Here is a 12866-nt window from a genome sequence, read left to right as displayed (position 1 = left end):
GCTGGTCTGGAGAAGCTGCCAGTGTATAAAAGGCAAGATGTTTTCACAAGGAAGAAGGGATGAGTACCAGTTTGAAAGTGACAGATCGATTTGACTGAGGTTCTTCCACAATTTTCTGCAAATTAGCTGCCACTGTAATCATACAAACAGAGAAGGTAATGAATGAGAAGTTACATAAATCCACTTTCAACCATATTTTAAAAGCTTAAATGGTAGTTAAGAATATGCTCCGTACAATCAAAATGGAAGCAGACAGATCAAATAATCACTCCCCTAATGAAAGTGTCTTTTAAACTCATTTCTGAGTAGTACACCTTGAACCACTGTCAAATTAACTTTCTTTAAAATGTTGTATTAACCTAGGAAAAACATGCAGGTAAAAGAGGTATGATTTCCTGATTTATGGATCAGAAAGCCCAAGGCCAGAAGTCAACAAACCAGCCTGTGGTCTGTTTTTGTTCTCCGGCAAGCTAAGAGTGGTTTAAAAGTGACAGACACTGTACATGGCCCGCAAGGCCTAAACTATTTATTATCTGGTTTTTCACGGAAAACTGTGTCTAAGGACATGGTCTTTTCCTTCAGTAACATGGACCTGTGGCCTCACTGGGCCTTCTCTCTTCCTTCCTGCTTTTCTAGTACTAAATCTCTAATGACTTTTGCTCAACTTGGGCCACAAAAATTAGGTATCCAAAACAGATCAGATATGGCCAAGCTTACTTTAACTTGTGACTTTTGCCATAATTTCTATTAATCTCCTAAAGACCTTGGGTGTGCTTTCACTTACCATCATTGGAGGTCACAAAGCAAACTCAGAGGTGAAATTTTGTGTGTGTGTAAGGAACTGTCCCATTACCTATAATTTCAGGAAAGCCAAGAACCATTTCAAGAACCATCAGACCTACTCAGTGGAATAAAAAACCTGCTTTTCTATGTACTAAGTATACAGACAGAGACACAGGAGCACATGAGCAGAACGCAATGGAGTTACCTATTACTAAATCCCTTCCGTCGACCAGGCCAGCAGAAATGAGTTCCTGAGAGACACCCTCTGCTGTATCTGCAAGGACAAAGAAGACAGTGCTCTGTTTTTTGTGCGTGCTTGCCACTGTTAACTCTCACAGCTCATGTGGGTGTCAGTGTGCCATGCTAGGCCCAAGCTGGATGCTAAATCCACAGAACCAAGAAGGCAGGCAGGGCCTTCCTTCCATACAAAGACTTTTCCTACCACTGAGATTATCTCAAGTGGAATTCTCACAGATCTAGCTAGAGGGCAGAATCTGTATAAACCAGGTAGCAAATATCTGAGACATGATGTTGAATACTGAACATCTCTAGGGCTAAAAAACCAGAATGATTTATTCTCAAAAACTAAGGCAACAATTTTTGTCTCAAAAAATTTTTGTCTCTTCTCTTTGGGAATCATACTCCAAGTTTTTTGCTAAAATCATTTACTTTTTTATTCTGGTGGGCTTTTCTTCTTATCTAGTTATTCCAGGTGGTACAATCTGAGCAATGGGTATAACCAGAAACTAAAAAGATGAGGACAGAATATCCCCAATTAACCTCATCTTCAACCAACTCAGTGGTATTGGTTGCCAAGGGCTTGAAAATGAGCCCCTCAGAGGGAACAGGAGGACTGCGGTGGAGACAGTGTCCACACATTCACACAGGCAACCAGCAATTTGAATTAATTCCTGAAAATGTGATGTTGCCTGGTGTTTAAAAAGTAAAACAGGTGACACCTCTGTACACCTGCATCTTTTCTCTTTAGTGGTTAGTTGCTCATGATAGTGAGACAGCAAGAAGAATAAGCATGATACACAGAACAGATACTTGCTGGCTACTCCCCAAATTAGAACACTGAGTAATAAAGGCAAGAAACAAAACACACCTTGTTCAAGGTGAAGTTCAACAGCCAGAAACAGTACATGACAGACCTCAGCTTCTGTCTGAGGAGAGAGGAGACTGCAGACCTTGTTTCTTTACCATCATGGAGAACAACCATGTATAAAGAATGAACTTTGGATTCTGACAGATCTGGTTTGAATTCCAGCTATACCTCTTTCCAGCTGTGTGACCTTGAACAAGTTACTTTGCCTTTAAGTCTTGATTTCATCATCGATACTATGGGGATAATAATTTTTCCTTAGTAGACTGCTGTGAGAATTTAATAAGATAACGCTTAAGACAATGCCTGGCCTATAGTAAGCTGTAAAGAGCTATCATATATTTATTACTGTTTGTATTATTATACAAGGTTTTCTAAATGTGTTTAGTAGTCAACGAACTGCATTTTTATCTCACTCATATACTCGCCAAAACCAGGAAAATTTTTATTATCCTTTAAAAGCAAAACTTCACAAAGGACAGAAACTTCACAACACATTTCATTGAATCACAAATTGGAAGCTATTTTGTTTTCAATCCATTTGATGCCTCACCTCTCCCAGGAGTAAATTCAAATCGAATATCATTTAGTTCTTTTTTGGAATTCCTATGAAAGAAAGCAGAATGCATAAAATAAGAATTTCTAAATTTATGCAAAGAGATTCTGCCAACATATATTAAGAAAGCTGTGCCTCAAGAAAGTCTGTTTTGTTCCCATAGATCATATGATGTATTCAGATATGTTCACACTGCAGAGCTCAGAGCAAAACCAATTCGGAATGACCATCTAATTGTCCTACAACCCTTTGAATCTATGTCCCTTACTGATCAATATAAAAATTTCATGCCTTTGAGTAGATTCTTATATGCCCACTCCCATCCTTATTCCCACACCAAGAACATATAAAACTAAGAGGAAAATTGTATGAGCACAGGGAGGTGTGATTAAAATGATACAGGATGCCTTTTTCATCCTTATCCCCACTCCTACATGCCCACAATTCATTGCCTACCTCTGGTGATCAGTCTTGGCAGACTCATAAAATGAAATACATGATACTCCCTCAAATTCCATAGGAATTCAAAGAATATATGAGAGATGGGGATAATAAGGAAAAATTTTAGAGGTAGTTTTTATATAGGACTTAACAGATATGCAGGATTTAGGTAGGCAGAGAGGATAGGGAAAGGAATTGGGTCCATACTGGTAGCAGAGTTACTATATGACTCCAGAAATTCAAACCTGACTGGTGAGGTACAGTTACAGTGATGATCACACCATGCACTGAGATTAAGCAGGATCCCTGGAGGTTTTGTTTAAAGACAGAGAAATGAGAACACTATATCTAAGGGCAGATATGCCTGCTCACTTAGGACTCAAATCTATTTTATATAAATAATGGAGAGGGTTTACTTCTATTTGATGAATAATATACTTGAGGATGTTACTGAAATTGTGCTTAAAATAGAACTACCCATCTCAAATATAACATGCCCCAAATGATTTTCCCTTGCATTGCGTTCTTTCTACACAGGTACATACAAACTTATACTTCTGCATGTATATACTACCTGAAATTTGCTTTTAGCTGTGTAAGTACATAGTTCAAATCAACTTCCAACCTAGACTTGATTATTAAGGGAGTCATTTAATTTTCTCTTTTCTCAGTATCCACCTTTCCACAGTACCGAAGAGTGCTATACATAGTCTGTGCTTAATACATTTCACAATAATTTTCTTAAAGTGTTATTCTTTATGTAGATTTAAAACAGCATGAAGTTGTCAAGACATCCTAGTAACTCAGAATTTTTGAGATGAGACCAGGTATACTAAGTAGGCTTCTGTAAAGGAAAGGTAACCAAATATGTTTTTCACATTTATGGCATAAATGCATTGCTCCTAGTGGCAAGGAGCAATGAGATTCTCCTTACCACATTCTCTTAAATAGCTCTTGCTGCCTCTATCTCCAATTAGGACCTTACAGAAAGATGACTAGGAATTTATATGTGCAAGGGGAATGAGTTAATGGTAATTCAGTGGAACTCTTTTTTAAAATGTTAGTAATAGTTTTAAAAGGCCTGAGTTGCCTCAAGTGATACTTTAATACTAATTTTTTTTCAAATGCATTTATGAGTAGAAAGAGACCTAACTAGAGCAATACAACAGCCATAGTGATTCTGACAAGAAAGCTCTGGAATTTGAATCCAGCTACTAGTGCTAGGGGCGGGGGGGGCGGGGCAGGGAGTTAAAATGAACAGACTGCTACCTATGGCACTTCCTGCTGAGCAATCTGTCAGGACCTCTCTATATGTTCCCACCAAGAACCACCAATTTAGGGTACTTGCTGCAAAACAGAAACAGACTACAAAAACATTTAGAAGTTTCCTTTTAACCTTCTAAAAACAAGGCCTTTATTTGATCTACCACAATCAAAAAGTGCTCCCCTCTTGGGTTAGTTGATCTCAGAGTTTACCTCGTCACAATTATAAGACTGATCTTCAGATAAGCCAGTTAGTGCTGCTCCCCTAAAAACTGTTCCTCAATTACAGGCTACACCTCCTAACCCAAACTAGCTACACTGTAAATACACAAACTCATCACCAATTAGCACAGAAACAACTGAGAGAACATGTGCATCAGTTAGTCACAACACCTGCTAACATGCAGGTCCTCACACTGTTGCTATTATTTCTGGGGAAAAATAATACACCACCAAGCAAACAGAGCTTGATGCTGGAGGACATACAATCCTATCCAGTTACTCTCAGGCACAGACTATTACAGCACATGCAGAATATTCAGAAAACAAAAGAAAACAAAACAAAAAATGTCTACTTACCTTAATCTTAGTACTAGACTGATTGGGATCTTGGTTTCTTGTGAACCTGATCCTGAAGACAAAGCCTAAAAAGCATTGAAAGGTATACAGTCATTGCCTGAAACATTAAGTGGGGAGGTGACTAATGGTCACTGGCAGAGGAATCATTTACTTGGCAGCAATTTTCTTCATCTCCAGCTGAGGTCATACTAATCCCCAGGACATTCCCTGCTGGAGGAGGACATGCACTCCAAGGCAGCAACAAAAGCTGAATGTCAGTTTAAGTCCAACACAATGAGAAAGAAAACTCTCAAGCCCAGATGAAATTTCACATATAGCCACATTTACATTTTATATTTCTGAGACCCCTGTTCCCCTCTACAAGACTGAAAAACACAAAGCTAGGTTTCTCATTTTTAAAAAATCTGCCAGTGCACCATATGGCAGTACAAAAGGTAGACCCTGAACCAGCTGCCCTTCAGAAATCCATCCAACCCATACATAGGTTCCAGTCTTTTTATGGCTAAACTAATCCTCTCTGAAAATTGTACAGCGCTTGCTTATGGGAGGACATGCATTCGATTTAAGTTGTTTATAAAATGAATCTAATTTTTCCATCAATTTTCCTAAGACAACTGTATCTTTTCCCATATGCCAAGCAGAAATGGAAAGCTTGAGGGATGCAAAGTTAAATGAAGTAAGTGCCATGACTAATTGGAAATGCTCAAAGCAGTGATCTCCAAAGGCAGAACACGAGATGATCTACTGGGGTGCAAAAGAAAAAAAAAAAAATCAGACCTTTAATTTATATTTCTTTTCATCTAAAACGTTAGACAAGAAAATGGAACTTCTAATATTTAATAAATGGACGTTGAAAGTCTTACTTTAACCATGTACCATAGGGCCACATGTTGTATGCAGTGTCTGAGGTTTATTGAAGGGAGAGAAGGAGTTACACAGCATGTAGCAGCCCACTACGGGGCCTTCATTCACTTGGCTGCTCTCAATGAAGTATGATTTAATAAAGTTTGTGTGCACCTGGATAAATGATTTACAGATTATAATACCCGGACTTAACAAACCAACCCTCACAAAATTGACAAATAACTTAAAAAGAGTAATAGAGAAAAACCACAGAAAACAAAGAGTATTAATAAAAAGTATAAGCCTGAGTGAACAACAACAACAAAAACAGTACAGCCATCGATTCTCCTAGTCTCTGTTGAACTTCATGAGCTGCATTCTGAAGTTAAATGTAATTATCTAATACAAAGCTGACAAGAAATTAGCCCAAAATTTTTGATGTTTGAAATATTTCCATCATTAACTTATTCTGTTGCTTAAAAACCTGCATGTGATCCTTGTAAAATTCTCTTACCTGTACATGCTTAAAAATGTGAAGACAGAATTTCTAACTTGTTTCAAAATCTACCAAGACATTAACCTGATTACATTAGGTTATATTCCACGTTAATATCTGCTCTTTTCATCTATCCAAAGGAGTGACCATGAAACCATATCCCCGGCTTTACCTGAGCTGTTTTTGCTGGCTCTGCGGTGGGTGGGAGAGAGACTTGAGTTGGCTGTGTAGCAATCTGCCCAGCTGGCTGAGGTAGATGAGCAGAGATCTGTTCTGGAACTTGGAGCAAAGTACCCACAGGATCAGTTGTTGGAAAGAGCTGTAACAAAAACACACACAGTGTTGCTTAAGTTGTGTGGAAAGGGAGGCAGGTCTGCTGACAGCAAGTTCAGCCTTTCAGGGTGATATTTTCAAAGTAGTTTTTGGGTAGTGTACAGGTTTTGTGTCTACTCCGAATATATCTATTCCAAACGGAAGTCAAATATTTCTAGGCTTTTAAACTTTTAACAACTCTGTGAGGTATAATTTATATTTCTCTACATTTACCCACTGTAACTGTACAATTTGGCGATTTTTGTACCATATATAGAATTGTGCAACCATCACCACAATCGTTTTAGAACACTTCCATCACCCCCAAAAAGTCCTCTCATGCCTATAGTTAGTTCCTGCTTCCACACCCAGCCATAGGCAACAACTGATCCTAATTTCTATAAATTTGCTTTTCTGGATATTTCATATAAATGGAATCATATAATATATAGTCTTTTGTGTCTGTCTTCAGTTTGCATTATATTTATCTTTAACAAAATCTATTCCATTCCTTTGCCCAGCAAAACAGCACCTCCAAAATACAGATTTAAGTATGTAATACAAAATTACAGAAGCTATATTTTTCCATGCATGAGGACTTTGTATTTCTTACAAAGACAATCAACCAATAATTCCTTAACATATCTGAAATGCATTTTAAAAGTGAATGTGATGCTTTAAAACTAAAAAAAGATATTTTATATATGTTATTTTGTATGTCTGAAATAGTTCATAAATTTTAATTATGTAGTTTGGGGGAAATGACTGATACTGAGTATAAAAACAAGTTAAACATATTCAAAATTATGCAGTTACTGGGGGAGAAAAAACGATGCAATAGCCAAAATGTAAAGTTGAAAGAGAAAAAATTCAAAGAGTAATAGTACAGGCTGAATAGGTGATATTACATAAGCAAAATCAAGGAGACAAGGAATAAAATTTTGTGTTCATTTAACTTCATACATAAGAAGTCATAAATTACTCATTGGTTCTAGATTTTTACAAAAAAGTAGGCCTTTAAGACTACTTTTGAAAATGTTAATTATTAATACTATTTCAAAAGACTATTAGCTTCCAAATTGTATGTACTTACATTTATCTATAGTAAAGATGGAAAGGATATATTTTTAAAAGTAATGAGAGGATGCACAGAAATTGGAACCCTCGTTGATGAGCACGTAAAATGGTGCAGCCTCTATGGAAAACAGTATGATGGTCCCTCAAAAAATTACAAATAGAAGTACCATACACCCAGCAATTCCACTTCTAGGTATACACCCCAAAGAATTGAAAGCAGGGTCTCAAAGAGATACTTGTACACCTATGTTGACAATGGCATAATTGACCACAGCTAAAAGGTAGAAGCAAACCAAGTGTCCACTGACAGATGAATAAAATGTGGTACATGCGCACGCACACACACACACACACACACACACACACAGAGGAATATTACTGACCCTTAAAAAGTAAGGACATTCTGACATATGCTACAACACTGACGAACCTGAGAACATTATGCTAAGTGAAATAGGCCGGTCACAAAATGACAAATACTGTATAATTCCACTTATATGAGGTACCTAGAGTAGGCAAATTCATAGACAGAAAATAGAATGGTGGTTGCCAGCGACTGGGGAGAATGCAGTTACTGTTTAATAGCCAGAGTTTTAGTATGGGAAGATAAAATAGTTCTGAAGATGGATGGTAGTGATGGTTGTACTACAGTGTGAATATACTTAATACCACTGGACTATATACTTGAAAATGATTAGGATGGTAAATTTTACATTATGTGAATTTTATCGCAAATTTAAAAACAAAGTAATGAGCATGAGAATATGAGTATGCAAGAGTTCATGTGGAGATGATATTTAGGCAAAGGAACAAGGAGAAGACTAAAAATAAAAACTAGATAATCTGTAAAATAGCCTCTCATTCAATTTCTGAGAAATCAAGTATCAGTCAACATAGGTTAAATTAGAAGTAACAAATAATCCTGAAGTGTCAGTGGATTAAAACAACAGTTGTTTATTGGACACACTTCAAGTCTATCTCTCGCCAGCGGGGGCTAACAAGCTCGGTATCATCCTCACTCAGGAATGCAGGTCATGGTAGCAGGAATAAGGAGACAAGGGGAATCATGAGTGGTTCTCACTTCTGCTAACATGCCACTGGCCAGAGTAACTGACATGGCATATGTAATTTCAAGGGGCAGGAAAACGCAATTCCCCTACCAAGAAGAGGAGCCACACATATAAGTGAACAACAGTTCTAATACAAGTTAACAGATATCGGCCTGTTAATATGTGAAGGAACAGTATTTGTTTTTACTCTTAATACAGTTCTATGTAAACAAATGTACATAATCACATACACAAATGTACTTTATATACAAAATAAATGAAAAAACAAAGGTTACTTTTTAGCAAAGAGGCAAGAATAGAATTGGTTTAAGAGTAAGAGATGTGTTAAAACCAAATACTGAGCTCAGAATGAAGATGCTGCCGGAAATAAGACTGTATGACAGAACAGACCACAGAAATGATTGTCTTTCTCCGGTAATGAGAATAGGGAAAACCAGCCCAATAAGAATCTGTTTAACAAGATTTCCTATCATACTGACACAGTAACCACGGAAAATAGAATTTATTTCACAAGAGAAGAGGCTGAGGCTGAAAGAAAGAATTCAAAAAGGACAGGTGGCATTTGACAAATTCGCAAACAAATTAATGCAAAAACACTACTTTTCAGCAGGGCACATTGGCACATGCCTGTAATTACAGCACTTTGGGAGGCCAAGGCAGGGAGACTGCCTGAGCCCAGGAGCTTGAGACCAGCCAGGGCAACATGGTGAGACCCTATCTCTAAAAAAAATACAAAAATTAGGCATGGTGGTGTGTGCCTGTGGTTCCACCTACCCAGGAGGCTGAGGTGGAAGGATCACTTGAGCCCCAGGAGGTCAAGGCTGCAGTGAGCCGTGATCACACCACTGCACTCCAGCATGGGTGACAGAGTAAGACCCTGTCTCAAAATAAATAAATAAATAAATAAATAAATAAATAAATAAATAAATAACTTTTCACTTCCAGCAGCCCAAGCCAAAAATAAAAATAAAAAATTCACAAAATCAAAGAGGCAAGGAAGAACATTCTGAGCCCTTACGCCAACTTTTAAAATTCGATTGGTATAAAGTTGCATTCCCATTTAAGCATACATATGCACAAACAAAAGCACTTCGAATTGAAACCAAAACAAAAGCACATTTACTTTAACAAGGATTCAATAATCACAATTACTTACCTCAGAATTTGATATTGATTCTTTCACTCGGGGAGACTAAACGAAATACAAAAAGGATGATTGTTAACTCACAACTCAGGTTACTTGTAGTCAGTCCCAAACTGCAAGTGATGTTAAATGCAAATCAACTCCATTTAATTCTGATCCATATATTAACTCACCAGCAAGTCTACTGAAAGTTTTCTGGAAAAAATAACTGTCATGATAGTATTGTATTTTTTGTCCAGGTAGCCTGTAACAAATACATCAATGTACTTATCAATTTTAAAATTCCGTATTTTAAAATTGTGAGCTTTATAAGCATACATAATGGGACTGTCACATTCTCCAAAGTAAAATTCTTTCTACTAATCGTGAACATATTATGTATATAAGATCCCAGACCAAACCTAAACTTTTAAGCTAATTATCCAACACATTCTCAAAGCAGAGTAATTCTGTTTACAAGCTTTAATGGAGAAAACTCTTGAGCCAAAAATGATCTGAAAGCTGCATGTAAAGAGTCTACTACCCTTATTCTTGGTGTTGGATATTTGGGAATCTGGTATCTAAAGAAACACGGGTGGTCCAAAAATAAAGCATGGACCACTAGCAAAAATAAAGGTAGTGGAAATAAACTGATACTTGAGGTGAGGTCTCAAATATCTGGTGTAAACCACATTTATTAGGAAATGACCAATTACAATCTGCCATATGAAAATTTAAGCTGTTTATTTGGTAAATAATAAAAGTTAGCAGTAATTCTGGATACAGGCACTGTAGTTTACCAAAAAACTTACCTCTAAACGAATAACAATTTATGGTAAATTCTGACAATGATGGACTTAGTCAGAATATGTCAAAGATCAATTGATGGTTTTTTTTTTTTAACACTTTTATCACCATTTCATTAAGGAGTAATCAAAGTTCAGGTAATAGCTAATGTAGCATACCAAGTAAGTGACCAACCCAAAACCTTTTTTTTAAAAAAAAAAACAAACAACTTTGTAAATAATGAATTCATCCAGACTACAAGAAAAAAAAACTTTTGTAAATAATTTCAAACTTACAGAAAAGGTGCTAGAATAACAATACAAGAACGTAAGTATACTCTTTACCCCAATTCATTTATTATTAACCTTTTTTCCCCTCATCTGCTTTATCATTTGGGTGCTCACTTTCTCTTTCTAAATATATTTTTCCTACACCATTTGAGAATAAGTTGCATATATCATGGCTGTTTACCACTTAATAATCAGAGTGTACATTTCCTAAGAATGAGATATTTTCTTATATAACTTCACACTATAGTTCTCATTAAATTTAACATGATATAATACTTTTATCTAATTTATAGCGTAAATGTCAACACTAATGTCCTTTGTAGCCTTTTGTTTTTCCTCCAGTATAAAATGCAGTCTAGGATCATGTATTGCAGGTAGTTTTCACGTTTCTTAGATTTTTAAAATCTGGAACATCAACATTTTTGGAGAATACAGTCCCTCCACTCCCACCACATACATGGGGTTTATCTAATGTTTCCTTATTATTATATTTACATGAATTCCCACTTGGAATTCTACATACTGACGTGTCCTTCTTACTGTATCCCATGTTCATCTGCCCCTCATTGGTGATGTTAATTTTAATCACCTAGTCAAGGAATTTTCCTACTTCTCCAGTATAAAAAAACCTTATTTTTTTCCCTTGTGGTGAATAGGTAATATGTGGGGGCACACTTTAAGACCTTGAAAATATCCTGCTTATCAAAACTTCCCCCTATATTTAGCTTCATTGATGATTCCTGCCTAATCCTATCCTTGCGACGATGATTGTAAAATGATGATTTTCCATCTCCAACACTCGTCCATATTTACTGGTCAGCACTTGGTAGCCTACCGCAATGAAGAACCATTCCTTTTCCCCCATTTGTTTATATATGTATTTGTTATTGGTATAGACTCATAGATAGCTATTTTCTAAATTGTTTAAAATTAATTATTGCACTTTATTTTGGTGGTTAAATTGTCCCAGATTTTGCCAGTAGGAGTAACTTCGAGCTGGCGCTTGTGTCCTTATGAGTTGTTTTTTTTTTTTTTAAGTATCTTTTCCTTCTGGCAAAGGAACATAATATTCAAGATTCCCCTTATATTTTCCCTGCCCAAGCCCTGGAATCAACCATTTCTCAAAGGAGCTCTGCTTCCCTTTAGTGGGGAATGGTATTAGAGACCATTATCTGGATACAAGGCATGTCATTATTGGGGTTTCTTTGCTTTCAGGCCATTCAGTGGACAAAGCTGAGAAATATATGCAAGTACAGACACACGTATATACATACACGCACACACACATTCACACACATACTTTACAAAGCTTGAATTCACACCAATGCCTCCAATTCAAACCCATTGCCACAGGATTCTTTCTCACTTTGCCCTGTTCCGTACCTGCGTATATCTTCTTCTATAGTGAGAATCTTGGCTCCCAAGAACATTGAGACATTTACTCATTTCCTCAATCCTACAAGAGTTTCTGAACTGTTTTGCATATACAACTATGAAAAATAATCCTAATAAAAGGAGCTCAAGGTTTGTCTTAAGTTTTCTTTCCCCCATCAACTCCACCTGAGAACACATAGTCAAATACTATATTCATAGGTTACTTGGATTCTTTCTTTTTATATTCCCCTTCAGTACAGTTACACATTCACTTAAAATATAATTGTAGACTTCCACTTCAGGCCATGATGAATAAACAGGGACCAGATTTATCTTTCTGCCTGAAACAACCCCACCTCTGCAAAAAAAGACAAAATATATGAAGCAAAAATTTTCAAGACATTGGGCACTGGGCAAAGAAAAACAGTGATTCCTGGAAGACAGGGAAAAAAAGTGGTGGGCCTTGTCCCTACATACTGCCTTGAAAGCTTCCAAGCTGTGGCACAGGGAGGTGGAACCTAGATGAAATCCAAGGAACTGCCTGAGTTGAGGAAACAGAGCTAAGAGACCGGGAGACCAAGGCAGATTAAGCTGATAAAACAGTACAAGGAAGGAGAAAGCTACAAAGAGAGTGAACCCTAGATAGCTGCAGACGGTCACTTTTGAATGTTTGACAGAATACTTATCAACGAGTGCATGTGAGGAAATGCCTGAGAATAGGGGGGAAAACATCAAAAACGATGAGAGGTAAGAGTGCATAGCACTCAC

At 36.9% G+C, this 12866-nt stretch overlaps 1 protein-coding gene across 8 annotated transcripts in view; it reads right to left on the bottom strand.

Moving 5' to 3' along the window:
• Positions 1–12866, bottom strand: part of OXSR1 (oxidative stress responsive kinase 1) — a 91422-nt gene that overhangs the window by 3025 nt on the left and 75531 nt on the right. For 4 of the 8 annotated variants that reach the window (XM_011534331.3, NM_005109.3, XM_047449387.1 and 1 more), the window contains 6 exons: positions 9682–9717; positions 6239–6385; positions 4728–4792; positions 2442–2494; positions 989–1057; positions 68–132 (listed from right to left, as the gene is read on the bottom strand). In XM_011534331.3, the coding sequence (XP_011532633.1) occupies positions 68–132; positions 989–1057; positions 2442–2494; positions 4728–4792; positions 6239–6385; positions 9682–9717 (435 nt within the window). Of the gene's footprint in view, positions 1–67; positions 133–988; positions 1058–2441; positions 2495–4727; positions 4793–6238; positions 6386–9681; positions 9718–9739; positions 9914–12866 lie in introns of those variants that run through there. The other 4 variants (XM_017007601.2, XM_047449386.1, XM_047449388.1 and 1 more) reach the window with 2 other exon arrangements.

This window comes from Homo sapiens, chromosome 3, assembly GCF_000001405.40.
Source record: "Homo sapiens chromosome 3, GRCh38.p14 Primary Assembly".
NCBI classification, from domain to species: Eukaryota; Metazoa; Chordata; class Mammalia; order Primates; family Hominidae; genus Homo; species Homo sapiens.
The sequence above is the reverse complement of the archived record's forward strand: the minus strand, read 5'-3'. Positions and strand labels throughout refer to the sequence as shown.